Source organism: Homo sapiens, chromosome 15 (genome assembly GCF_000001405.40).
Source record: "Homo sapiens chromosome 15, GRCh38.p14 Primary Assembly".
Taxonomy (NCBI): domain Eukaryota; kingdom Metazoa; phylum Chordata; class Mammalia; order Primates; family Hominidae; genus Homo; species Homo sapiens.
In genome coordinates this window covers 68,643,581-68,671,328 of record NC_000015.10, presented here as the reverse complement: position 1 = coordinate 68,671,328, position 27,748 = coordinate 68,643,581, and the positions used below count along the sequence as shown (strand labels likewise).

Below are 27,748 nucleotides of genomic sequence, written 5' to 3'. Positions count from 1 at the left end.
TGTGGGCACAGTCCCTGACATTCCAGAAGATTCCTCTTCACTTTTTAAGAAAGTAGGAAAAAAAAACAACAACAGAAAAATTGGGAAATACAGAGGAAGAATAATTCCTATTATGTCGTGGTGAGTATCAGCTCCATTTTATGCCCAGCTGGAGAGAGTGGTTGTGGTTCCTTTTCCTGTGCCATTGAACATTCTTGAACAGCATGATTTTCACGGCTGCGTTGTATTCCTCAGTGTGGCTGTACTACAATACCTTATGCAATTCCCTACTTTTGGATCCATAAGTGCTTTATAATTTCCAATACTCTAAAAAGGCTGAGGCAAACATAGTAGCTGAATTCTTCCACACATGAATTTTTAAAAAGATAAATTATTGTAAGTGAAAATGCTAGGTAATAGATCTGCACTTTAAAAAAATGCTTTTGTTATGAATTTTAAGATGCCTTTCACAATGGTTGTACTAATTTACACTCCTGTCAGCAACTCAAGAGAATGGCCATTTCCCTATAACCCTGACAGCACCCAATATTATAATATTTTTATCTGCTTATTTTCAGATGAAAAATATCTCATTGTTTTCCTTTGCAAGTCTTTGATGCTTTGTAAGGTTGCTTATATCTTCATTTGCTTAGCAGATATTTGCATTTATTTGCTTGTGAATCTTCTGATTCTATGAGGTCCTCAATTATTTCCTAATGGTGTATTGGTGTTTATCTTTTTCTTAATAATTTATAAGAGCTCTTTGTATATCAGAGATATTAATTCTGTGTATTAGTTCCTTATCACATTCATTGCCCCTTTTCACTTCTGATCCATCTACGGAAACTAATGATTCTAAATATTTTTGCTGGCTGGGCGCGATGGCTCATGCCTGTAATCCCAGCACTTTGAGAGGCTGAGGCAGGAGGATCACTTGAGCCCAGGATTTCAAGAGATCAGCCTAGACAACACAGTGAAACCCTGTCTCTACCAAAAAAAATTAAAAAATTAACCAGGCTTAGTGGTGCACACCTGAAGTCCCAGCTACTTGGGAGGCTGAGGTGGTAGGATAGCTTAAACCCAGCGGGTGGAGGTTGCAGTGAGCTAATATCACGCCACTGCACTCCAGCCTGGGCAACAAAGCCAGATCCTGTCTCAAAACAAAACAAACCACTAAGTACTTCTGCTTTGCCATCTTGATTCTGATCCAGACCTCTACTAGTTGGTTATCTATACATAATTTTTCAAAAATTTTTAAATTTTTCTTTATTTTTCCCCCCCTTTTTTTTTTCTGAGACAGAGTCTTGCTCTGTCACCCAGGCTAGAGTGCAGTGGCATGATCTTGGCTCACTGCAACCTCTGTCTCCTAGGTTCAAGCAATTCTCTTGCCTCAGCCTCCTGAGTAGCTGGGATTACAGGCATGCGCCATCATGCCTGGCTAATTTTTGTATTTTTAGTAGAGATAGGGTTTCACCATGTTGGCCAGGCTGGTCTCGAAGTCCTGACCTCAAGTGATCCACCCACCTTGGCCTCCTGAAGTGCTGGGATTATAGGCATGAGCCACCACACCCAGCCTTATTTATTTTTTCTTATTTGGTTTATTTCTCCAAGAAAAATATATTTATTTTATTAACAGGAAACTGTCAGGGGTTTCTTTGTTGAGCCCAAAACCCACCATTGGATTGATATTTTTAGAAAGTTGAATTTTTTTTTCCTGAAACTCACAGCTAACTCAGAGCCAGCATTGCCCATTGAGCTCAACGAAAGTGAGGCCAAAAGTCAAGGTCAGTCCCGGGAATAGATTGCTCTTCTTGGCTGTCCTAGCCCTGGCCCACTCATGCATTCACGCAAAGCATACTGCAATTTCAGTCAGAGAACACATCCCACCCACCAGGCTGGAAAACTGACCACACTCTTCACAGCCACTTCCCACCTTGGCCCTGGCCAGCAAGATTCCCTGTTCCCTTTAGGGAATCTGCCCAACTGCAGAGGTGCCAAGATGCCCGTGTGGATTTCACACACCCAGTTGTGTCCTGAGAGATAAAGGCTCCAAGTCGCCTTCACCTCAGCACAGTGAACAGGCCATGGTCTGGGCGTGAACAGGGCTCCCTGCTTCTCAAGGCCGAGTCCTGTCTCCGGCTTGCTTGCTTGCTTGCTTGCTTCCTTTCTTTCTTTTCTTTTCTTTCTTTCTTTTCTTTTTCTTTCTTCTTTCCTTTCTTTCTCTTTCCTTCCTTCCCTCCTTCCTTCCTTCCTTCCTTCTTTCTCTCTCTCTCTCTCTCTTTCTCTCTTTCTTTCTGATGGAGGAGTGCAGTGGTGTGGTCTTGGCTCACCGCAACCTCTGCCTCCCAGGTTCAAGCAATTCTGCTGCTTCAGCCTCCCGAGTAGTTGGGATTACAGGCACATGCCACCACGCCCAGCTAATTTTGTATTTTTAGTAGAGATGGGGTTTCTGCACGTTGGTCAGGCTAGTCTCGAACTCCTGACCTCAGGTGATCTACCCACCTCGGCCTCCCAAAGTGCTGGGATTACAGGCGTGAGCCACCATGCTCGGCCTGTCTTTGGCTTTCTATGGGGTGTGTTGTTACCATATTTCTTTGTTTAGCTCAAGTGAGAGCTAACCTTGAGCTTGAAACCCTCCAATGGCTTCCCACATCACCTAGAAGAAAATCCAAACTGGCGTGGTCTCCAAGGTTCTGGGTAGCCCAGCCCCTGACTACCATTGGCTTCCCACCCTGGGGCTCCCCGCCCTGGGCCTCAGCACATGCTATTCTCTCTTTCTAGGGCACTACTCTTCCGCATGCTCTTTACTTGACCGGCTCCATCCCATTCAAGTTTGCAGAGAGGTCCTTCGGACTGTCTTACCTAACATATCCATCACAAGTCTCTACGGCATCACTGTGTTGGATTTCTTCACAGCACCCATCACTGTCTGATGTAATCTTAACGACTGTTTGCGCCCTTGTTCATTGTTTGTCTCCTGACTGGCTCACACAACTCCTGAGAACAGGGACCTTGTCTGTGTTGTCTGCATGATCCAGAAGGTTCTTGGATCCCCTGTAGCGCCCCCCTCCCCAGCCCTGGGCCATGCCTGCAGGTTGCAAGTGTGAACACGTTGTGGGGCAGATGACCTAGGCCCTCTCGCTGACCGAGGCTCACTGTGTGTCAGGCATGGTGCTAAACTCTTAGCCAGCATCACTCTATTTTATTCCAGTTCCAGCACTTCCCAGCTGTGCGACTTTGTATAAGCTATACCTGTTTCCTCATCTGCAAGGTTGCTGAGTATTCAGTGGCACCAGGCGTCTCAAGAGCTTAGAACAGTCCCTGGCCCGTTGTACGTGTTCAACAGGTGTGGGTGATTACTGTCATCATGACAACCCTGCCAGGTGGGATTTATTATCTCTCGTTTACAAATAAGAAATCCAAGGCTTTCGGGAGTAATAACTCATCTAGCAAATGGCTGGGTCAGGACTACAGGTCCCGAAGCCCATGGTCTTCACTGCCCCATATTCTATTTCCAGAGATGGAAGTAACTGGTCTGAAGTCTCTTTCCTTTCCAGCAACTCCCTCCACTAAAACATAGAACTAGCTCTTTCAGCATTCCTCCACATCCCCCCGCCCATCTTCAGTGCACTCTCCCATCTCACAGATGGGGAAACTGAGGCTGAGAAGGGGGAGGTAGTGAATAGAGAGGCCCAGTGCAAACCTGGCTTATCCACAGGGCCTCACCCGTCCCACTCCTCACGCAGGGTTTTAAATCCAAAGCTTTGCCATCAGGCAGATGTGGGGCTTTGGCCAAGACTCATCTGCACCCTGGGCCTCAAAAGATTTCTCTGTCCGAAAAGATCCCTGTCCAGTATTTGGGCTGAACTCTGGCTGTTGGGAATGGAAAAACGAATGGGTGTGTTTCCCAGCCTCAAGGAGCCCATCGCCTAGAAGCAGGAACAGGTGTGAAAACAGACCACGATACCCCTGCCTCAAACATGGCAAGGACATGGCAGGAAGCGGAGAGTCTGTTGGCAAAGCAGAGGAAGAAGCAGGATGGCTCCAGGTGGCTTCCTGGAGGCGGTGCCCTGAGCTGTGCAGAGAGGAGCATGAAGAAGGGCAGGCAGGTAGAAGAGACCGGGGCTGGCTCAAGGTCTGGTGAGGGCAGGTGAGTCAGGAAGGGGCAGAGTGGGCCAAGCCATGGAGCCAGGGTGGGGCAGGACTTCATCCAGAAAGGGAGGCCTTAGGGGTTTTTAGAGTAGGGGTGGGGGAGCATGAGAGTGAAGGGAGATCAGGAGCGGGGAGCCTGGGGAGAGGGAAGCCTAGGGCCTGTTTGTCGAGGGTCTTCTTTGCTCCTCACCTGTGCTGCAGCTGAGCCACAGATCCTCTCACTGCCCAGGAAGGAGCCCAGAGCCAAATCTCACCCAAGGGCATGCGGCAGGTTTCTGGCAATGCCTAGATTTGGCTGGTCTACGGCCATACCACCCTGAACACGCTGATCTCGCTGAACCCAAATCTGCCTGACTACAAAACCGTGTATTTTTATCATTTTTGGGGACTCAGTGCAGTGATTGCAATAGTGTAGATAAGAAAGGACAACATCAAGGCCCTGTCCAGCACATGGGCTTAGAGAGGCACAAAACTCCCTTGGCCCCTTCCCTGCCCATCCCCCAACACAACACCCCAACCCCCAGTGCCCACAGCCGCCCTGCTTTCTCCACCCTCGCTCTCCAGGAAGAGCTCATTCAGGGGAGGAGGGAAGCACCTGCTCAGGCCACTTCTCTTTCTTTGTCTGGGGCTCTGCCAGGAGGAGCCAGCAGGGAAGGAGTAGTAGACAGAAAGAAAGAGAAAGGAAATTCCCGCCAGCTGTCAGGAAAGAATGGTGTCCTGGAAGGCCACTCACCCACTCCCTGGGTCCTGTGGAGTTCAGAACACTGGGGACTGGGGGAGGCCTTCATCCTTTGCCTCCTCTCATCTGAGAATCACCCTACCCACCTTATGTCCTAAATCTGGGCTCTTCCCTACTTCTGACACCTCGTGACACCTTGGAAAGGGAACTAGCTGCCTGGGGCCTCACTTTCAGTATTTGCATATCTGAGCATCATCTGTTGACTTGCCATGTGCCAGGTTTTATGTCCGCTACCCAGAATGTTCCCAAAGAATTATCTGTTCGAGCCTCTTCTCTACCTCAAACAAATAGGACACTCAGCTTTGAGAAGTACAGCAAGCTGTTAATACCATTAATCTAGGTGGTGTTCACTGCTAAATGATTTAAACTTTGCAGTATGTTTGAAAGTTTAATAATAAAATGCTGGGGGGAAAATATTTCTCAACCCAAAATATGTAAAAGGTAAATACCTGATGCATTGCCATCAAAGTTAGGAACAAGAGGTTGCTATGATTTAACATTTTCCTGTAGGACCTGCCAATGCAATTAAAAAAAGAAAGATATACCAGAGGTATAAAAGCTATAAATGAAGAGGAGAATTATCACTACTTGCAAATGATAAAATAGTATCCCTAGAAACCTCAAGAGAAACCACTGAAAATTAGTATAAGCTATTTGTGAATTTAGTAACATGGCAAAATATTAACATACAGAAACTTATGGCTTTCTAGTATACAATCATCAATTAGCAAATATAATTTTAAAAGGATATATAATACAATAAAAAAGGTAAATACGTGTAACAAGAAATGAATAAGAGCTATGTGAAGAAGCTTTTAATACACCACAAAAGGACACAAAGGACTACAAAAAGTAAACTATGATCATGGATATTTAGACTCAACATCATAAGGTTGACATTCTCTTTAATTTATCAATTTAACATAATCCCAATAAAATATCAATATTTTCTATCTATATAAGCAGATCCTAAAATTATATATTAAAATATATAAGCTAGAAGAGCCAACTACGTTTGAGAAAAGACCACAATGAGTGGTGACTATCCCTGTTGATATTAAAACATATTATGAAGTCTTAGTAACACAGCATTGTGGTACTGGTACATGAATAACAAGACTATTAAGTAGAAAATAATGGACAGTCTGTAAAATAAACCCAAATACATTCAGAAATGTAGAATGCAGCAAAGCCTGAATCTCAAATCAGTAGGGGAAAGAAAGGATTACTCATTACCTGGAATTATTTCAACTGGATAGATACCTGGGGGAAAAAAAGTTAATCTATACCTCATTCTTTACACCAAGATAAGTTCAAAATGCACCAAAGATTTAAATATAAGAATGAAATTCTAAAAGTAGTGAAAGGCCTAGTAAAAAGGTTACTTCTTTATAATCTCAGAGAAAGCCTTTCTAACTATGGCCCAAGATCCAGAAGCCATAAAAGACTGGTAAACTTAAATACTTGAAATGTAAACAAATAAATCTGCACTGCAAAAAGTACCATTTGAAACGTATACTTGCAACTCATATTCCAAAAGGCTCATTTCCCTAACATATAAAGGACTTCTTCCATCAATAAGAAATTAATCAAAGACCCTATAAAAAATAGGTGAAGAATATGGACAGACAATTCACACAAAAAGGAAATGCAAATAGATTGTAAGCATACGACGATATTTTCAACCTCATTTTTAATAAAAATGTTAATTGAAACTACTCTGACAAAGTTTCCCACTCATCAGCTTGGCAAAAAATTAAAACATATGATAACACTCAGGTTTTTTTGTTTTTTGGTTTTTGGTTTTTTTTTGAGACAGAGTCTCGCTCTGTCCCTCAGGCTGGAGTACAGTGGCACAATCTTGGCTCACTGCAAGATCTGCCTCCCGGGTTCACGCCATTCTCCTGCCTCAGCCTCCCAAGTAGCTGGAACTACAGGTGCCTGCCACCATGGCCGGCTAATTTTTTGTATTTTTAGTGGAGATGGAGTTTCACTGTGTTAGCCAGGATGGGCTCGATCTCCTGACCTCGTGATCCGCCTGTCTTGGCCTCCCAAAGTGCTGGGATTACAAGCGTGAGCCACCATGCCCCGCCAATAACTCTCAGTTTTTAAGAGGTTAAATGAACAGGCACACTTACACTTTGCTGGTTCAAATATAAATTATTGCAATCTCAACGGAAAGCAATTTTGTCAACATTTCAGAAGCACACACCTTTCCCCCAACTCTGAAACTTTTAACCAAGATATACTTGTATCCAAAAAAAAAATTACAGAGATCTTAGCTGTAAGGCTCATTGAATTTTTGCACGTGTACATTCATAAACCCACCACCATGATCAAAATGTAGAATACTTCTGTCATCCAGTTTTCCAAAGTGGCTGTAACACTGTACACTCCCAGCAGTGTAGTATGAGAGTTCCAGCTGCTCCTCATCCTCATCAACACTTGATATTATCAGCTTTCTAAATTTTGGCCTTTCTGGTGGATGTACAGTAGTAACTCATGGTTTTAATTTTCATCTTCCTGGTGAGTAATGATGAACAAAGCATATAAACAATTCACACAAAAATAAATGCAAGTAGGTCTTAACACATAAAGAGATTTCAACTTCTGTCTTAATAAGAATGCTAATTGAAACTACTCTGGGAAAGTAGTACCTTTTCACAGGCCTATTGGCTATTTGGATATCCATTTTCATGCAATGCTTATTCAAGTCTTGTCCACTTTTTTTTCTCATTTTTAAATCCAGTCACATATTATGAATACTAATCCCTTGTCAGATATATGCAATGCAAATATTGCTCCTCTGTCTGTGGCTTGCCTTTTCACTTTGTTAATGAATCTTTCGATGAGCAAAAGTTTTTAATTTTGATTAAGTTCAATTTATTGATTGTTTTATAGCTATTGCTTTCTGTGTCCTGTTAAGAAAACTTCCTACTACAATGTCAGGAGGAAATTCTTCTGCGTGTGTGTGCGCGTGTATGTGTGTGTGTTTCCTGGAAGAAAGCACGTACCTCTTCAACTATCCATTTAAATTCTAGGGATTTATTCTACAGACGTACCTGCATGCACATGAAATAAAGCGTGTCCACAGTTATGCTCTGCAGCACTGTCTATGATAGTGAAACTTAAGAAACAATGGAAATACTTATCAATAGGCAAAATGTGGCTGGACAAATGATGACCATCCAAACAATGGAATACTGTGTAGCTATAAAAATGAGCAAGGAAACTCTTTCTATATTTGATGTGAAAAGATCTCCAAGATATATAATTACATGTAAAAAAGCAAGATGTAGAGAGAACAATGTAGGTAGTTGGTGATCTTCGTGTAAAAAAGATTGACCTCTGAACAACACGGGTTTGAATTGTTTGGGTCCATTTATCCACAGATTTTTTTTCAATAAATTGGAAATTTCTTTGAGTTTAGCGACAATTTGAAAAAGCTCACGATAAACCAGGTAGCCTAGAAATATTTTAAAAAATTTAAGAAAAAGTCCTGTGTTAGCCTGTTTAGGAAAAAAAAAATTAAGAAAAAGGTATGTCATAAATGCATAGAATATCTGTAGATACTAGTCTGTCTTATCATTTACTGGCATAAAATATATACAAATCTATTATAAGAAGCTGAAATTTATCAAAACATACACACACTTTCAGATCATACATGGTGTCATTTGCAGTTGAGAAAAATGTAAACAAATGTTAATGACACAGTATTAAGTCATAACTGCACCAAATTGTGGCATCTACTGTACTACTGTAATAATTTTGTAGCCTGCTCTTGTTGCTATTGCAGGAAGCTCAAGTGTTGCAAGTATCTGCTTAAAATGCATGTGAGGCTAATCATCTCCATGTATATGATTCAATTCATCTCTCCAATAAATTGCATATGGCAATACAAAGTGATCTCTTGAGGTTCTTGATGTATTTTTCATCGTGTTTAGTGCAATAGTGTAAACCTTGAATGACAACTGCAGACCTCATTTCAAGATAAATGAATCCAGCTTAAGGACTATTGTAAAAAAATAAAAGGAAATTCATGAAGTTATTCCTGAGTTATGCCAGCAGGCATGAAAACCCTGCACTTTTCAAAATACCTTATCTCATTGTGAAAATACAGCTTTTATGTGGGTGCAGGATTACTATAAGAAAGGTATAACCTATAGATTCTAATATGATTCCGGAAAAGGTGAAATCATTATATGAAAACAAAGCAAAAGGAAGTTGAACGATCTAAAGTCAGATAATTTAACATCAGCAAAGGGTGGTTTGATCATTTTGAAAGAAAATTGGCTCATAAAATGTCGTGATAACAGGAAAAGCAGCTTCTGCCAACCAGGAAGCAGCAGATGAGTTCCTAGAAGCCATTAAGAAAATCACTGAAGAGAAAGGACATCTGCCTAAACAGATTTTTATTAATTAATTAATTTATTTATTTATTTATTTATTGAGACAGGGTCTTACTCTGTCACCCAGGCTGGAGTGCAATGGCATGATCTCAGCTCACTGAAACCTCCACCACTTGGGTTCAAGTGATTCTCCTGCTTCAGCCTCCTGAGTACCTGGGATTACAGGTGCACGCCATCACACCTGGCTAATTTTTGTATTTTTAGTAGAGATGGGGTTTTGCCATGCTGGCTAGGCTGGTCTTGAACTCCTGACTTCAAGAGATCCACTTGCCTCGGCCTCCCAAAGTGCTAGGATTACAGGCGTGAGCTACCACGCCAGGCCCTGAACAGGTTTTTAATGCAGACGAAAGTGCCCTGTTCTGGAAAAATATGCCATTAAGAACACTTGTTAGTGAGGAAAAGAAACAAGCATCAGGATTTAAGGCAGAAAGGGGTAGGCTAACTCTACTGTTTTGTGCAAATGTAGTCAGGTTTATGATCAGGACTACCCTTATCTGTAAAGCTGCTAACTCCCAAGTCTTGAAGGGAAAAGATTAACACCAGCTGGTAGTCTTTGTACAAGAAGGCCTGGATAACCAGAACACTTTTTCTGGATTGGTTGAATGTTTTGTCCCTGAAAAACTGCCTTTTAAAGTTCTTTTGATATTGGACAATATCTCTGGCCACCCAGAACCCCATGAGTTCAACTTGCTCCTAAACACAATGTTTCTAATTCAGCCTCTAGATCAGGAAATCATAAGAACTCCTAAGACTTATTACACATGGTACTGACCAGATGCGGTGGCTCACGCCTATAATCCCAGCACTTTGGGAGGCCGAGGTGGGTGGATCACTTGAGGACAGGAGTTCGAGACCAGCCTGGCCAACATGGTGAAACCCCGTCTCTACTAAAAATACAAAAATTAGCTGGGCATGGTGGCGGGCACCTGTAATCCCAGCCACTGGGGAGGTTGAGGCAGGAGAATCGCTTGAACCCAGGAGATGGAGGTTGCAGTGAGCTGACATCACTCCAGTGCACTCCAGCCTGGGCGACAGCAAAAGTCTGTCTCAAAAAACAGAAAAAAAAAAAAGACTCATTACACATTACACATGGTACTGTATGGAAAAGATTGTCAACACTAAGAAAGAGAACCTCTATAGAGAGAACAACATGAAAATCTGGAAGGATTACATAGTTGAAGATACCATCATTGTTACAGAAAAAGCTGTGAAAGCCATCAAGCCTGAGGCAATAAATTCCCACTGGAGAAAACGGTGTCCAGATGTTGTGCATGACCTCACCGGATTTACCACAGAGCCATTCAAGGAAATAATGAAAGAGATTGTGGATATGTAAAAAAGGTGTGTAGGAGTGAAGGGTTCAAAATATGAATCTTGGCTGGGTGCAGTGGCTCATACCTGTAATCCCAACACTTTGGGAAGCCAAGATGGGTGGATTGCTTGAGCCTAGGAGTTCAAGACCAGCCTGGACAACATGGTGAAACCCCATCTCTACAAAAAATAAAAAAATTAGCCAGGTGTGGTGGTGCACACCTGAAGTCCCAGCTACTTGGGAGGCTGAGGTGAGAGCATCACTTGAGCCCAGGACGTTGAGGCTACAGTGAGCCATGATCATGCCACTGCACTCCAGCCACGGCAACAGAGCAAGAGCCTGCCAAAAAAAAGATATGAATCTTGAAGAAGCTTAAGAGCTAACAGACATCACACTAGAGGAATGAACAGAAGACAACTTGATGGAGATGAGTGCTTCTGAAGCAATGCCAGACAATGAGGAAGAAGACATAGAAGAAGCAGCACCAGCAAACAAATTGACATTAGACAATCTGGCAGAAGGGTCCAATTATTCAAGACTGCTCTTGACTTCTTTCATGACATGAACCCTCCCATGATACAGGCACATGGTCAAAGGAGAATTGGTACCATATAGAAACATTTTTAGAGAAATGAAAAAGCCAGACAGAAATTACGATATATTTCTGTAAAGTTACACTGAGGGTGCCTGCCTGCCTCTCTTGTCTTCCCTTCCACCTCCACCACCACTTCCACCTCTGACAGCAATGCCAACCCCTCTTCTTCCTCCTCCCCTTCAGCCTACTCAGCATGAAGATGAGGATAGACTTTTTTTGTTTTTTGAAACACAGTCTCGCTCTGTCACCCAGGCCTTGGCTCACTGCAACCTCCACCTCCCGGGTTCGAGTGATTCTCCTGCCTCAGCCTTCTGAGTAGCTGGGACTACAGGCGTGCACCACCACACCTGGCTAATTTTTGTATTTTTAGTAGAGACGGGGTTTCGCCATGTTGGCCAGGCTGGTCTTGAACACTTGACCTCAGGTGATCTGTCCGCCTCGGCCTCCCAAAGTGCTGGGATTACAGGAATGAGCCACCATGTCTGGCCGAGGATAGACTTTTATAATGATTCACTTCCACTTAATGAATAGTAAATATATTTTCTCTTCCTTATGGTTTTCTTTTTAAAAATTTAATCAAAAAAATTTTTTTAGAGAGGGGCTCTTACTGTGTTGCCTGGGCTGGTCTCGAACTCTTGGCCTCAAGTGATCTTCCTGCCTGGGCCTCCCAATGTGCTGGGATTACAGGCATGAGCCACTGTGTCCAGTCAGTTTCCTTAATAACATTTTCTCTAGCTGACTTATTGTGAGAATTTAGTATATACACATATAACATGTAAGATATGTGTTAATTGACTGTTTATGTTATTGGTAAGGCTTCTGGTCAGCAGAGTTAAGTTTTGGGGGAGTTGAAAGTTATATGTGGATTTTCAATGGTGCAGGGGTCAGCGCCCTTATCCCTCACACTCTTCCAGGTTTAAGTATGTACATATAAATAATTTTGGGAAAGACACTCCAGTAACTGCTAACAGCAATTCCCTCCTACTGGAGGAACTGAGTAACTGGAAGCTAGGATTGAAAGGCAGACCGTCCACTGCAGGTCCTTTGCTTCTGAAGTTTAAACTGTCCAACTGCATGAAGGTTTTGCCTAAATATAAGTACTTATTTATAAATAGATAAGTTATTCTAAGTGGGTAGAGTTGTATGCATGTGGATATTGGTGGGCGAGGGCAATCCAGAGGGAGAAACAGCCGGGGCAAAGGCGTGTAGGAGAGAAAGCTGGCTGCAAAGCCGCCTGTGCCTGGGGACAGCGACAGCACTTCACAAACACTGCACAGGGGCTCATCAGGCCTCCATGTTGCATTCTGATCAGCGGGAGCAGTTCACAGTCCCAGGTATAAGCTCTCTTTGGACAGGCCCATGGCACTGAGTCAGCACTGAGCTGGGGTACTTTATCTACTCTGTTTCATTTACACCTTGTTCCAATCCCAAAGAGTAGGTCTTAGGAATGATGTCTACTGGACAAAGAAGAATGAAGCTCAGGGAGGTTAAGTAACTTGCCCAAGGTCACAGAGCCATTAAGCAGCTCGGGTGGACCTAGGGCTGTGTATCACTTCCTTTCCAGAATTCTATAGATCAGGGTGGGAAAAAGTGGGGAGTGGGTGCAAAGAGTTAAGCACCCAAGAGTGAGCAACCAGACTCTTCCCTGCATTTTCTTGGCCAGCCCCTCCCGCTTCTACCCAGGTTGTTATCTGGCCTAGGCCCCAACCACAACCCCCACTGGCCCCTCACTGGCCGAAGGCAGGAAGGAGGCACAGATGGCAGGCGGGGACGAGGCCCCCAGCCAGGCTCACCCAGCTGTCGCTTTGGAGAGCACCATGCATCTCGCCCTCCTCCTCCATTGAACAATTGGGAGCTGGCCAGCCTGGCCCCAGCTGTTCCCTCTCCCTGGTCCAGGGCTCCTACCGACCCAAGCTTCTGGGGTTTTTGTCTCCAGGGGAGGAGAAGCACAGAGTTTCAGAATGTCAGAGCTGGCGAGACCTTGGAGGACAACGGGCCCAACATCTCATTTTACAGATGGGGAAACTGAGGCCTAGAAAGGCAAAGGAACTCACCCAAGGTTACAAAGAACCAGGCAGAGAAGCTAGGTTTCCTAACTGCCAGTGAAGCTTAGGAGTTTGGGGAGCCCCACAGGAGTGAAGGGTGCTCAGGTCTATTGCATTGCTCCCTCCCCACCAACTTTCAGCCACAGCAGTTCTGCCTGTCCTGATTTTATACAATAATATTTCCCTCTGATTTTATTTCCAAGGTCTTTAATCTGAGTGGGGCCACAGACCCTGTTAGGAGGTTTGTGAGTCTGGGTAGGAGACAACTTACATCTATATTTTCACTAGCCTCTAACTGAAACCTCACATTTCTTTCGTGTATAAATGTAGGCAGCAAACCCCAACAGGATTACTTGAACCTATAATGTGTTCATCAACAGGTATCACAGATATTTTCAGATAACTTCTGCTACTATTAACTCAAAATATGTATGCACATCATGACTTTGAAATTAGAGTCGTTACTGTGTCCTACACTCAATCATGGGGCGTAATGCATTGATAGAAAAGCACTTATTACAGCACAATTCTGGTATACATTTTGATAACTGTATTTCCTTTTTTTTTTTTTTTTTTTGAGACAGGATCTCATTTTGTCACCTAAGCTAGAGTGCAGTGGCATGAGCACAGCTCACTGCAGCCTCAACCTCCCCGGGTTCAAGTGATGCTCCAACCTCAGCCTCCCGAGTATCTGGGACTACTAGCATATGCCACCACACCTGGCTAATTTTTTTGTATTTCGTAGAGATGGTGTCTTGCTATGTTGCCCAGGTTGGTCCCAAGCTCCTGCACTCAAGCAATCCTTCCACCTTGGCCTCCCAAAGTGCTGGGATTACAGGTGTGAGCCACTGTACCTGGCCTGTGTTTCAAAATAATTGGCTTCTTGCGTAATCCTATTTTGTATACTTAAAAACTTTATTCTGTGAAGGGGTCTATGGGTTTTTCTAGACTGCCAAAAGGATCTATCCCTGACTCCCCCAAAAGTTCATCTGTTTTATTTGAATAAAATTATTCAGTGTTAAAAACTAAAGTTTGCAAACTTTTGTACTCCATCTGTGACCTCATAACATTAAGGCAGAATTCTCATGAGATAAATGAGCAAACTGGGGATCGGGGGGACTGGACCCTAGGTGGGGAGGGTGCATCAGAGCCCAGCAAGCCAGGATCACACCAGCAGACTTGCACTGAAAGGTTTGCCCTGAGCCAGGCACCTTCCAGGCTTTATGTAACACCTCACTGAATCCTCAGAACAGCCTCGGGGTTAGGACTAGCATGTCTCTCATTCTACAGCGAAGGAAACTGAGGCACAGATCAGTTAGGTAACTTGCCCAAAGAACATAGCTGGCAAATGGTAGAGTCAGGGTTGAAAGCCAGGCCAGCTGATGCAGACCCTGCACCCCTAATCACTGGGCACACTGCCTCCCTGTCTAGGTAGATGGAAGCCTCTCACGGGAAGTCTCTAAGGTGTTGCTGTTGTCTGGGTGCTTCTCTTGGTGGGGGAAGGAGGAGTGGGAAATGGGATGGTTCTGAAGCATTTGCTGCCAGGATCAATCATCTGACACATGGGGCACTAACTAGCTGTGCAACCTTGACCAAGTGTCTTGCCCTTTCTGGGCCTCAGTGTCTCCATCTATAAATTGCAGAGTTTTAAGCACTACCCCTCCATACCTTCCACCTCTCATGCTCACCTGACGACCCACTTGGAAACTCAGGCACAGGTTGCTTAGCAACTGAAATCAAGGTCTTGGCTGAGTGGAATGGAAAGGGGGGAGACAAGAAGTGCTATGTGATGCTGATGTCACAGATCTGTCTCTTGACACGTGAGGCTGTGAATGCTGGGACCAACCCTTCTTCCTCCCACATCCCTCCATCAAGTCAAGAGCCTTGGGATGGGAGCGGGTTGGTTGGGTCGGGGGGCGGGGGGGACGGTGCGAGGGGGAGGGGGAGGGGTGGGCAGCAGTCAGGGACATGAGGAAGGCCATCTGGAAGTGCAAACTGCCCTAAGGACTAAATCAGGCCTGAAGTTTCTCAGGCAGGGCAAACAGGCAGCCATTGTTCTGGAAGCTGCCAGGAGAAAGGCCAGTGGTAGGAGCCTTGGCCAAGGCCTCTGGGCCCCAACTGCCCCCAGGGAGATGCTCTGTTTCAAGCCAGGCAACCTTAGTTCCACTCCCCACACCCCTCCTGCACCCTAAATCATTTTTGTTCCTTGAAGTGCTGAGAGTCACTGACACATGAGGGTGCTTCCAAAGCTACAGGCTCAGATGAGACACAACAGCAAGTCTCTACCTGGCCTCCTGTTGAGGGGCTTGGGGATGGCCGCCCTTTGTGGACAGATCTCCTGCAGACTGGAATTCCACTATTACCAACACATTCCTTTGGGTCTCAAGAGTTTGGTCTCCTTAAATCTCACCCTAACCTTAACCAAATGCAAATTCCCTTAGTAAAGGAAAGCCATTGTTATCATCGACACCTTAGGAGATGTGAGTGTGGACTCTGAGAAGTGGCTGAGGGCAAGGATTCTGGGGAAGGGGGCCAGAGGGTGTCCAGGCATGTCATGCAACCTTGGATAAGACACTTCTCCTTTTTGGGATCAGGACTTGTCGTGGGCACAACAAGGCGCTTGGAATCTATGATCCCTGGGGTCCCCTCTGACTCTGGCATTGTGTCAATGTAAGACTGGGATTGGGGCACTGGGGAGGAGGGCCGGCGAGAGGCATGGACTGTGAGGACTGTGTGGCTTCAGCCTGGCTCAGAGCACAGAGCTCATGCTCATTCAATGGGGCTGTGCCTCCATCTGAGCCAGCTAGACTCCAAGGAGCCTCCGTCTCAATTCCAGCACCGTTTTCTCCCACCAACCTGGATCTTTTAATAATAGAAGAAATATAGCTCAGATTTGTTGAGCACTTGCTGTACGCCAGGCACTGTGGTAAAACCTTTACATGCCTTCCCTCATTAAACCCTGGCAGGCAGTCCAACTCCAGATAAACAGGCAGGCTGGCTTGAGAGGGGCACCACCAGGCTCCATGGCAGCCCTGGACCCTCCCTAGAATCCCCCATCTCCAGGCACCCAGCCTGGCATGGCCACCTCAGTCATGCCTCCCTGGAGACCCTGCACCACCATCCCTGTACCCCTTTAGGCACAAATGACTTGCCTATGGGTACCTTCCCCTCGAGGTAGCTCACTGCTAGGCATACTCAGGGACTGTGCCAGACAACAGTAGCAGGAAGGCCAAAGACAAGGCTCACACTTGCTGGCCACAGGCTCCAAATCCCACCAAAGCTAACAGGCTATTGCTAGGATGGGGTGGCCTGGAGATGGGTAACAGTCCTTGGCATCACCATGGCTCCCGTTTACTAGCACGTACTATGGGCCAGGCTACGTGCTAAGTGCTTTTTACAGCACCTTATTTAATCATCACAGCACCCTGAGAAACATGCACTATTATTATTTCACAAACAGGGAAACTGAGAAACAGATGTTAGATGCCTAGGGTTTCACAGCTAAGGGGTGGAGCTACAACTTCCAAAGGTATGGGAGGCTCCAGGCCCTAGAAGGAAAATGGGTAGCAGATCAAGCAGACTGCCAGATGCTTCAGAGGCCAGGGCAATGCCTCTGGGCAGAGTTAGGGCCCATGGCTTGACTTCACAGAGTCCTAGTGAACCAGCTACTATAATTTCCAGCCTCCCTGGCTCTGCAAGGAATGAGAGGAATGGAGCCAGGAAGACAGCTCAGCTGTAGACCCAGGCCCAAGGGAGAGGGATGGATTCTTTGACCTCCCATGATGCCCACTAGCCAGGCTGCATCTCTGGCCCCCTGGACTCCAAATCCAGAGAACACCCATCCCATAACCTTGTAATAAAATAAGAGAGCGACACTTCCATTTCTGCAGAAGGGCTCGCCTTCACTTTCCTCAAAAATCAGCAGCCATTCTTCCAAAAAAGGAAAAACACAAAGCAAGCTGTCAATCTCGAGCCTCAGACAAATGAAATAAAGTTGCGACTTTTCTCTTTGAGAGCACAATTCTCCTCCCTTTTCCAAAGTCACTTACTGTACATTCAGGCTGTCATGGGCTTTGAGATGCAAATTGCACCAAGCGGAAGGCAGCTTGAAGAACAAAGAACGATTGAGGAAAGATCTGAAAAATGGATTTGGAAAAGGCTCTCTGAATTCCCTTGGAGGGGCGGAGACCTCACTGCAGAGCAGTGATGAAGATTCAGGCATTTTTTTTTTTTTCCTGGGGGAGAGAAGGTTTGAGGAGCTCAGTGCTGATTGTGGGGGAGTGATGGGGTGTTACAGAAATCTGGAATGGGAACGAAGGCTTTGGGTAAGCAAACAAAATATTATTTTATTACAGTCCTCAGTACTGAGCTGGGCACCTTTCCTCCTGACCCTTCTTTTAATATTAGGCCTCAGACATGCTGTGAGCTATGGAGCTAAATGATCCACCAACTTCTAGATTCAGCTCCAGAGTTAAGACCAGCTGGGCCATGCAATATCGTTCTAAGGGCTTTCAGGGGAGGATGCAGCCCCTTTCAGTGTGGGCAGCCCCTGTATGGTGCTGCATTCTCCCTAGGATCTGGTGGGGATGGGCTGCCAGGATCAGCAAAGAAGAGACCCCATCTCAGAGTAGATGGGCACCTGCCTCTGTGATTTGGCCATAGGTCAGCCCAATGGCCCCTTGGCTGAGGATCTACTGTGAGCCACCCCTGTGCAAACCAGACAAGTTTCCCACCGTTGGGGGCTCTCGGTCCAAGAGAGGTAGCCAATTGGACTACAAACTCTAGGTGGTCAAGACTTGGTCTTGTTTACTGCTTCCTTTTCGGTCCAGGAACTCTGACTGAAACCTAGCAGGCATTCAATACCCATCTGTTAGATGAATGGGTGGGTCGGTGGGCCAATTTTGCCTCCTGACTGCTGGAGTGATGCTATCTTGTCTGGACCGCTGCTCCAGGACCCCACCCCTGCCTCTCCTTGCCAACTAGAATTGTTGCTTCATTCCTTCAGAGAGTAAGCTTCCCCAAGATCTGCTGCACTTGTATGGAGTTTGGAAACATCTACTCTCTCGGCTTCCAAAAGAGATGGACACATGGGGTGTCAGCTCATCAGAGAGGTGTAATAAAGTGTTGGTTGAATTAATGTTCAAGGAAATCCTCTAAGACATCCAAATGGCAGTAATAGTAATACAAGGCACATTTATAGAAATGCTTCCCTCTAAACCTCTGTAAGGTGGGCAGGCACATGACTGGGAGAGCCCTGGGCTAAATTCTGACTCTGCTACTTGTGGGCCGTGCAGTCTTAAAGGAGTTACTTGACTTTTCTGAGCCTCTGTTTCTTTATCTGTAAAACGAGGAGAATGAGTATACTTTCATCATAGAACTTGAGGTGAGATTCAAACAGAGCAGGTATGTTAGATCCTCAAAAGCTCCTCAGGCCACACTACTGTGGTGGGGAAGGAGAATGCACCATCCCAGCCCCAGAGACCCGGTGTACAGCTGGGACTGAGAATGGCTGGGTTATAGGGAGAACCCAGACTCTTGATATCTAGGCCGGGTTTCTTCTCTTTCTGCCAGGTGCCAGTTGGGGTAGCAGGTAGCTCTGTTTCTAGCCCTGTTCTTCCTGTGGCCTGGATCTGGAGGTGGCAGGCAGTCCGGGTGAAGTGCAGCAGGAAAGGGGTGGTGCCCCTGGGGAGGCCCCAGTGGTTAATCAGGCTGCTGGGCACAGTGCCTGCTCTCTGGAATATTCATAAGGCCCCTCCAGCTGTGCCAGGCAATCAGGGTGCTGATTGCTCCCCCATCTGCAGCTTAACATTCCACTCCAGAGAGCTGGCAGCTGAATGTTAACTAGGGGAAAAAACAGGCACTGGCCTTCACAACGGCAGCCCGAATAAGAGACCTGGGGAAGACAGAGCCACTCCTTCGAGATCTGCCAGCCAGAACTTATCTGTTTACCAGCATCATGGGTGGTGGAAAGAATCATGGATTCAGAAATAAGTGAGCTGGCTTGGGGTCCATACTGTATGCCCGGCTGTGCCGTCTCAGCTTCCCCAAGTGTGAGGTGGGGATGGCTGTACCCACCTGCTGAGAGGATCAATGAACATAGAGTTTGCTGGAACTTGAGAGTGCTGTACAAAGGCAAAGCATCTTCGCGGTTGTTGTTTGTAGTTGTTGTAGACACGGCTTCCTACTCTGCAGAAGAATTTTTAATCATAAATATGGAAATCTCAAGCAAGCTGGCTTTGAAGGAAATGGAGCAAGGAGAGAAAAGCTCTGTGGAAGGTTCTGAGCCTCCCTCAGGAGGTGTGGCCTCGGGGCAGGGATTTGGGGATCCTGGGCAGGTGCTGTTCTCTTCTGGTCCAAATCTCTTAGAAAAGCAAGCAAGGAATGAGAGGATATGCTGGATAGTGGAGGGAAAAAACTTAGAGAAGAACTGAGACAATTCTCTGCGGCCTGCTGTTTGCTCAAGACAAAAATCTGGAGCCATTCAGCGTAGGGACAAGACTGTCCCACCATGAATTAATAGCTTATAACTAACGCTCCAAGTGATGATTTGCAGTCACCAAGAAATGGTCCAAATCTTTTCTGTGTTTGTATTGAATACAGGAAACTGTTTTCAGGGAAATTTCTATCAAACTGAGGGGGTGAAAACTGGAGCTAAAATAATCTGACCCTTTTCCTTCCTAGAAAATCGGCTAGTGTGGAACAACATCTCCACCGCTGCCAGATCAACGAAGGGTTCCGCATTGGGCCTGACTGCCTCCCTCTCCCCGCACCCCCTGCACCAACCTAGAGGCTGTCCCACGCCTGCAGGCCCAGCCCTGACCACAGGGGGCGGTAGAGGGACGGCCATGGCTTGGGCGGCAGGGGAAGCCGGCGCTGGCTCCAATACCTAAGTCATCCCGCTTTGGAGGCGGGACCCTGCGTCCCATAGTCCCCAGACTCGGGGTCCTGCCTCAAACTACTTACTTGAGCCTCGCAGATCAAGGAGCTGCCTCACCCTCCCACGGAGTCAGTAACCCACCCCACCCCTCGCCATTCCTTCACTATGGGTCCTGCAGTTCTGTTTGAACTTTCTACCGCGAGCCCATATTCAGGTGTTACTCTGGGAGGAAACATTTGCAACATACATAAGGGAGGGCTGATGTTCAAGGCAGATGAAGACATTCATCTGACCAGAGGGCAGCAGGCAAACCTAGCGGATGGGGCCCCTCGTCTTTACCCAGTGCACACCCTGCACTGAGCCCCTCTCTGGCCTGTAGGGCCTCTGAAACTTCAGGGGCTCCCTCTTCACATCAGCGAATTGCCTCTATTTTTTCGAAAGTACAAAACGTTAAGTACTGATTGTAAGAAATTTAGATCATATAGCTAAGGGAAAAGAAAATTAAAGAGCACTCATGGTCCCAATACTTGGGAGGTAACAACTTTTGACATTTGATGTATATTTTTGCAGTCGCTTCCAGATAGGTAAACAGATAGTTTTTGTTTTTGAGACGGAGTCTCACTCTGTCGCCAAGCTGGAGTGCAGTTGCGCGATTTCGGCTCACTACAACTTCCGGCTCCCAGGTTTAAGCGATTCTCCGGCCTCAGCCTCCCAAGTAGCTGGGATTACAGGCACGCACCATCACGCCCAGCCAAGTTTTGTATTTTTAGTGGAGACGGGGGTTTCACCATGTTGGCCAGGAATGTCTCCATTTTTTTTTTTTTTTTTTTTTTTTTTTTTTTTTTTTTTTTTTTTTTTTTTAGACAGAGTTTCGCTCTTGTTGCCCAGGCTGGAGAGCAGTGGCGCGATCTCAGCTCACCGCAACCTCCGCCTCCAATTCTCCTGCCTCAGCTTCCTGAGTAGCTGGGATTACAGGCACCTGCCATCATGCCCCGCTAATTTTGTATTTTTAGTAGAGACGGGGTTTCTCCATGTTGGTCAGGCTGGTCTTGAACTCCTGACCTCGGGTGATCAGCCCGCCTCGGCCTCCCAAAGTGCTGGGATTACAGGGGGTAGATATTTTTAATGTGATTAATCGCATATTGCATTTCTTCACGTAACAGTGTATCATATAAATAGTTTTCTCTTGTTAAATATTACTTTGCATCGCTGGTCCTCAGTGTATGGTCTGGGGACCTCTGGAGATCCCCGAGACCATTTAATGCAGTCCATTGGGTCAAAAGTATTTTCCCAATAATAAGACATTGTCTGCCACTTCACTCTCATTCTCTCTCTTGAGTGTATAGTGGGGTTTTCCAAAGGCTGCATAATGTGTGATATGCAAAGCCAGCCAGCTGTCTTCTAATAAGCCAGACATATATTAAAGAGATTTGCAAAAGTGTAAAATGATGCCATTCTTCTCATTAACTTTTTTGTCTTAAAAAAAGTTATTTTTAATAAAAATATGTTTTTCAGGAGAACATGAAATAGACTTATCATTATGCAAGTTAATAAATACATAGTTTAAAATTCCTTCATTTTTATTTTGAATATGCTAACTATTGACAGATATAACCCATATAAACAAAAGTTCTTTGGGATCCTCAATAATCAAGAGTGGAAAGTGATCCTGAGACTGAACGCTGGAGAACGAGACTGCTCTACAGCATCATTTTAATGACTGCATAGTGTCCCTTTGTGTGGCTCTTCCCTAATTTGTTTACCCCATTTCCTTAATGATGGACCTGCAGGTTGTTTCCAACCTTTCACTATCATAAAATTGCTACACAATCACTCAGTACTCATGTAAAGTGAAAACTTCTTGAAATGAGAGAAAACAACAGAAATCAATTGGTAGTGTGAGTGGTCACAATAAGTCCATGATTAATCAAGTTAAATAAAATATATTACAGCACGTGAACAAATAAAGTTGAAAAAAGATATATATCAAATACACCTGATATGTATATATATAGCATATTTCTATATATAGACATACTCTGTAAAGAACACGTTCTTTTCTGCTGTCCATGAAGTGTTTACAAAGTGTGATCATATTCCAGACCAGTGCTACTGACAGTGTAAAACATTTTGTTACCATTACAGAAATTGAGAGGAAGCGTTTAGAAACGTTTAAGCAATTTGACAGAGAAACTTTATTTTTATTGAATATAATTTAAAAATTGAGGCTTGTAAAAATAATCGAGTACTAAAAAATGCTGCACACGTATTTTTTAAATACACTTGAGAATATTTCTGTAGGATGAATTCCTAGAGTGGAATTGCTAGGTCAGTAGACATGCATCTTTAAATATTAGTAGAAATTGCCAACTTGCCTCATTTACGTCTTACGAAGAGTGTATTTGAGCACCTGCTCTCTCACACCTTTGGCAATACTGATGATTATTACTCTTTTAAATCTTTTCCAATTAGTAGGTTAAAATATATATTTTGCCTTCTGTGAATTGCTTATTCATATCTTTTGCCTTTCTTCCTTTCTCTCTCTCTTTCTCTCTCTTTCTTTTTTTTGAGACGGAGTCTCGCTCTGTGGCCCAGGCTGGAGTGCACTGGCGCAATCTTGGCTCACTGCAAGCTCCACCTCCTGGGTTCACACCATTCTCCCACCTCAGCCTCCCAAGTAGCTGGGACTACAGGCGCCCGCCACCAGACCTGGCTAATTTTGTTTTTGTATTTTTAGTAGAGATAGGGTTTCACCATGTTAGCCAGGATGGTCTTGATCTCCTGACCTTGTGATCCACCCGCCTCTGCCTCCCAAAGTGCTGGGATTACAGGCGTGAGCCACTGCACCCGGCCTTTTGTTTCTTTCTTTCGTTTTTTTTTTTTTTTTAGCTGGAATCTTGTTCTGTCACCCAGGCTGGAGTGCAGTAGCGCAATCTCGCCCACTGCAACCTCTGCCTCCCGGGTTCAAGCAATTCTCCTGTCTCAGCCTCCCAAGTAGCTGGGACTACAGGCACATGCCATCATGCCCAGCTAATTTTTGTATTTTTAGTAGAGGCGGGGTTTCACCATATTGGTCAGGCTGGTTTCAAACTCCTAAACTCAGGTGATCCACCCACCTCGGCCTCCCAAAGTGCTGGGATTATAGGCGTGAGCCACCATGCCCAGACTCTTTTTTTTTTTTTTTTTTTGAGAGACAGGATCTTTCTCCGTTGCCCAGGGTGGAGTGCAGGGGAGTGATCATAGCTCACTGCAGCCTCCAATTCCTGGGTTCAAGCAATGCTCCCACCTCAGCCTCCCAAGTAGCTGGGACTTCAGGGCAAGCCATCATGCTCGGCTAATTTTTTTCTTTTTTTTTTTTTTAATTTGTAGAAACAGGGTCTCAGGGCCTCACTATGTTGCCCAGACTGGTCTCAAACTCCTGGGGTTAAGTGATCTTCCTGCCTTGGCCTCCCAAAGTGTTGGGATTACAGGCGTGAGCCACGGCACCTGGCCCCAGTCCCTTCTTTCTTTCTTTCTTTTTTTTTTTTTGAGATGGAGTTTCGATCTTGTTGCCCAGGCTGGAGTGCAATGGCACAATTTCAGCTCACCACAACCCCCGCCTCCCAGGTTCAAGCGATTCCCCTGCCTCAGCCTCCAGAGCAGCCGGAATTACAGGCATGTGCCACCACGCCTGGCTAATTTTGTATTTTTAGTAGAGACGGAGTTTCTCCATGTTGGTCAGGCTAGCCTCAAACTCTCGACCTCAGGTGATCTGCCTGCCTTGGCCTCCCAAAGTGCTAGGATTACAGACGTGAGCCACCGTGTCCGGTCGGGTTCTTTTTCTTGTTAATTTTTCTGGAACTCTTTATATATTCTTCACAGGAATACTTTGTCTATTATATATTGCAAATATTGTAGTCAAGTATGTGGCTTGAGTTTTCATTTTGTTTAGGTGCCTCATTGTAATACAGAAACTGTCTTTTAAAAATTTATTCTAACCTATTCATTTCCTTTATGATTTGGGGGATTCCTGGCTTTCTTAGGAAGCCTTTCTTCATTGCATGATTTTAAACATGCACTCCATTTTCCTCTAATACACATGTAGCTTTTCTTATTTTAAATGTTTAGATCTTTAATGCATCTGGAATTAATTTTTGTCATGATGTGAGGTATTGCTTGTTGACCCTTGTGAGCCTAAAGTGGAGCATGGCAGGGTGCCGGCGATAGGTTTGAGCCTCAGTAAGAACCAGCCCACATGTTCCTGGGGACCTGCAGGCCTGGATGGATGGAGCTGAGTGCGTCCCTGAGGCAACAGTGATCGGAGGCCATCTGATTCAGGAGGGAAGGGAAGCTGCATTTGAGGATCCTTCCGAATGTGTTAGAGCTGCTGTGAGCCTTTGCCAAGTTGACCAGCATAGTGGATAACTTCCCCAAAAAAGTAACCAAACATCCTTAACATGTTGTGTGGTTCACTAGGAGCTTCACATCTATTATCTCACTTAAGGCCAACATGACAGATGTAGGCAGAGGAGGATTTCTGATCCTGCTTTTACCATTACAGGAAAATAAGGGTCAGAGAGGTGAAGTGACATGCACACGGTCCCAAGTCTGGCAAGGGCAGAACCCAGACCTCCCGCCATCAAGTGCATGCTCCTTGGACCTCTCTGTGCATCAGGCTCTGTCCTCAGTGTCCCTGCAGCTGCCCCTCTGATGGAGAGGAAGATCTGGTCTAAGCCTTTTCCAAATCTGTGCTCCCCCACTGTGGGTAGGAGAGACTGGAAAAATCCATCCTCCACCACCAGCTGACAGTGAATTTTGAGAACCAAGGCTTCCTTCCACATGCACCTCTTCCTCCCCCTGAGCGATTTGGCGGAGGGTGGGAGTGGGGATGAGTCAGGCTGGGAAGGGGGAACTCAGCCATAAACAAGTGGGACTGACAGCAAGCACTTTCCCTGAAGCGCGTGACCTCCCACGGGCCTCTGGGGACTCCGCCTGAGTGGCTATGGCTTAAAAATTTCATGATCTAGGTTTTTCAGATTTAATCTGTTATATTCACGTAAGCAGCTGCAGAAAGGGGAAAATCTTTAGATAGGAGGTGGGGGATGGGGAAGAAGGTAAATTATTTCCAGTCTCTCAGTAGAGAGCAATTAAAAAAAAAATGAGTGGGCCAGGTGCAGTGGCTCATGCCTGTAATCCCAGCACTTTGGGAGGCCAAGGTGGGCAGATCACCTGAGGTCAGGATTTCGAGACCAGCCTGACCAACATGGTGAAACCCCATCTCTACTGAAAATACAAAAATTAGCTGGGCGTGGTGGCACGTGCCTGCAATCCCAGCTTCTCGGGAGGCTGAGGCAGGAGAATCGCTTGAACCTGGGAGGCAGAGGTTGCAGTGAGCCGAGATCGCGCCATTGAACTTCAGCCTGGACGACAGAGCAAGACTCCATCTCAAAAAAAAAAAATTGTATAATTTTTGCAGATGCTCAATGTATAATACCTATGGCTAGGTCTTCATCCCTTCCGGCTCCAAACCAAGAGGACACTCAGGACACAGAGTGGTAGAGCTAGACTTGGTCTTGGAGATCAGAGTGTTCCACTCCCTCAGGGAATGGAACCTTGTGTACACCAAGGGAGTGGCTTGTCCAAGTGCATACCTTTAGGCAAGCTCTGGAAAGAGATCTCAGGTCTCCTGGATCCAGGTCCTGCACTTGTTCTGTTGAATCTCAGGAAAACCCTAAAGAAGGCATAGCCACTAGATGCTTGATGAGGAAGTAAAAGGTGGGAACTCAGAGAGAAGTAGGGTCAACAGGCCTAAGAGAGACCAAGGAGGGCTCCTCTCTGCCCTGGAGCTGCAGCTGGAGTGAAGGTAGGGGCCACCTACCTGCTCCAGGGGGATGACGAGGAAGGAGCCGCCCCCTGCGCTCTCGGTGACGATGGCCAGGAAGCGGGTGTTGACGGCACAGAAGTGGTTGTCGTGCACATTCTTGGTGATGGGGATCCCATCGAAGCAGTGCTCCCGGTTGGCCACCTTCCCGTAGACATTCCGGAACTTGGAGCTACGGTATTGCGGACGCCAGGACATCTGTGAGGGGCCAGGAGAGACAAGGGTCAGGCTGGGCCCTGTGCCATGAAGGGCCTCGGCTGGGCTCTTGGGGGAGGGAAGCTGCGGCTCAGAGGTGCAGCAGGTGAGCAGGCCCTGGGTCCCCTGTCAGGAAGAGATGGAAAGGAAGAAGCATCCAAGAATTCAGGGCACACTCATATGCCCAGCCCGTTCTAGTGGGTTTCATCTTTTAATAAAGTCTTACAAAAACAAAGATTGGCATAGGAGCTTTTGGTACACATGCCCACCCCACTTTCTAGAAAGGTTGTAGGGTCCTTTTACTACCCAGGAACCTATCATGTGATAGAGCGAAGCAAGAACACATACAGACTCCCTCCTGAGTATCTGGAACTGTGCTCGGTTCAGCATGGGAGATGCGGACAGCAGAGGCCAGTGTTTACCAAGATTGAGGACAGGGCCCACAGCAGGAGTGGGGTGGGGAGATGTCTCTCCACGTGCAAGAAGGCAACCCCCCATCCACTGTCATCCCCTCGGATTCTCTAGTGTTTCTAATCCACAGGTACACCCTCAGAAATCTCTGAGTCCTGGATATTATCATCATATCATCAGGCACAGAGAGGTTAAGTGACTTGTCCAAGGCTACACAGCTAAGTAGGGCCATGAACATAGGTCTCCTGACTGGAAATCCAAGACTCCTCCTATGCCAGATTACCCTTTGGAGCAAGGTTTCTCAGCATGTGGCCCACAGATCACCTGTATCAAAGTCATCTGGGGTTGGGGAAGTCTCTGATCTTCCTATGTCATTTATAAGAAATGCTGATTACTGGGTCCCAATCTAGACCTACTGAATCCAATATTTTGAGGATGGAACCCAGGAATCAGTACTTTTCCATCACAACTGGAGAGTCTCATGTGATGACAAAGCACATGATTAAAGCAATCTGGATTGCTGAGTCACTACATGAGGCGTTGCTGTCTTGGAACACTTACAGAATCCATAGCGGACTTTGCATGAGTGACAAACTTTTGTTATAAGCCGCTAAGATTTTGGAGTTAATTTGTTATTACAGCATATCCTAGCCTGTTGTAACTGATATACTTTGTAGTTGGTTTTTTTTGTTGTTGGTTTTTCTTTTTGTTTGTTTGTTTTTGAGATGGGGCTGTCACCCAGGCTGGAGTGCAATGGTGCGATCTCGGCTCACTGGAACCTCCGTCTCCCAGGTTCAAGTGATTCTCCCACCTCAGCCTCCTGAGTAGCTGGGATTACAGGGGCCCACCACCACGCCCAGCTAATTTTTGCATTTTTAGTAGAGACAGATTTCACCATGTTGGCCAGGCTGGTCTTGAACTCCTGACCTCAGGTGATCCATCTGACTCGGCCTCCCAAAGCGCTGGGATTACAGGTGTGAGCCACGGTGCCGCCTGGCCTGCATTTGATTTAAATCAAGCCATGAGCTAATTCACAAACTCCTCTTTATTGAAGGAAGAAGTTCAGAATCCAGAAGGAGAATCCCAGGGAAGATTCCTCACCTTCAAGCAAATTCTCTTCCACCAGCTCTCTGGGCCCCAACCCCTGCCTCTCCACTGCCTCTTCTCCACT

The 27,748-nt window shown here is 45.9% G+C and overlaps 1 protein-coding gene and 1 long non-coding RNA gene across 6 annotated transcripts in view, besides 4 other annotated features; both read right to left on the bottom strand.

The window, feature by feature from the left end:
• Positions 1-27,748, bottom strand: part of CORO2B (coronin 2B) — a 209,434-nt gene that overhangs the window by 56,478 nt on the left and 125,208 nt on the right. For all 5 annotated transcript variants that reach the window (NM_001324014.1, NM_006091.5, NM_001190456.2 and 2 more), the window contains one exon: positions 25,969-26,169. In NM_001324014.1, the coding sequence (NP_001310943.1) occupies positions 25,969-26,169 (201 nt within the window). The remainder of the gene's footprint in view (positions 1-25,968; positions 26,170-27,748) is intronic.
• Positions 1,492-1,991: an enhancer, noted in NCBI's record as "H3K27ac hESC enhancer chr15:68961677-68962176 (GRCh37/hg19 assembly coordinates)". NCBI's record gives its function as "activates a minimal SCP1, AML or CMV promoter by ChIP-STARR-seq in primed H9 embryonic stem cells {active_cell/tissue: H9 hESC(primed)}" and the evidence as "EXISTENCE:reporter gene assay evidence [ECO:0000049][PMID:30033119]".
• Positions 4,605-4,899: a silencer, noted in NCBI's record as "tiled region #8573; K562 Repressive non-DNase unmatched - State 24:Quies". NCBI's record gives its function as "represses a minimal TATA promoter and a strong SV40 promoter by Sharpr-MPRA in K562 cells {active_cell/tissue: K562}" and the evidence as "EXISTENCE:reporter gene assay evidence [ECO:0000049][PMID:27701403]".
• On the bottom strand, positions 5,671-20,779 carry LOC124903514 (uncharacterized). Its single transcript, XR_007064691.1, has 2 exons — positions 19,310-20,779; positions 5,671-7,393 (listed from the first exon to the last, which is right to left on the bottom strand). It is a non-coding gene; the product is annotated as an uncharacterized LOC124903514 (long non-coding RNA).
• Positions 18,960-19,460: an enhancer, noted in NCBI's record as "OCT4-NANOG-H3K4me1 hESC enhancer chr15:68944208-68944708 (GRCh37/hg19 assembly coordinates)". NCBI's record gives its function as "activates a minimal SCP1, AML or CMV promoter by ChIP-STARR-seq in naive H9 embryonic stem cells {active_cell/tissue: H9 hESC(naive)}" and the evidence as "EXISTENCE:reporter gene assay evidence [ECO:0000049][PMID:30033119]".
• Positions 19,518-20,085: an enhancer, noted in NCBI's record as "H3K4me1 hESC enhancer chr15:68943583-68944150 (GRCh37/hg19 assembly coordinates)". NCBI's record gives its function as "activates a minimal SCP1, AML or CMV promoter by ChIP-STARR-seq in naive H9 embryonic stem cells {active_cell/tissue: H9 hESC(naive)}" and the evidence as "EXISTENCE:reporter gene assay evidence [ECO:0000049][PMID:30033119]".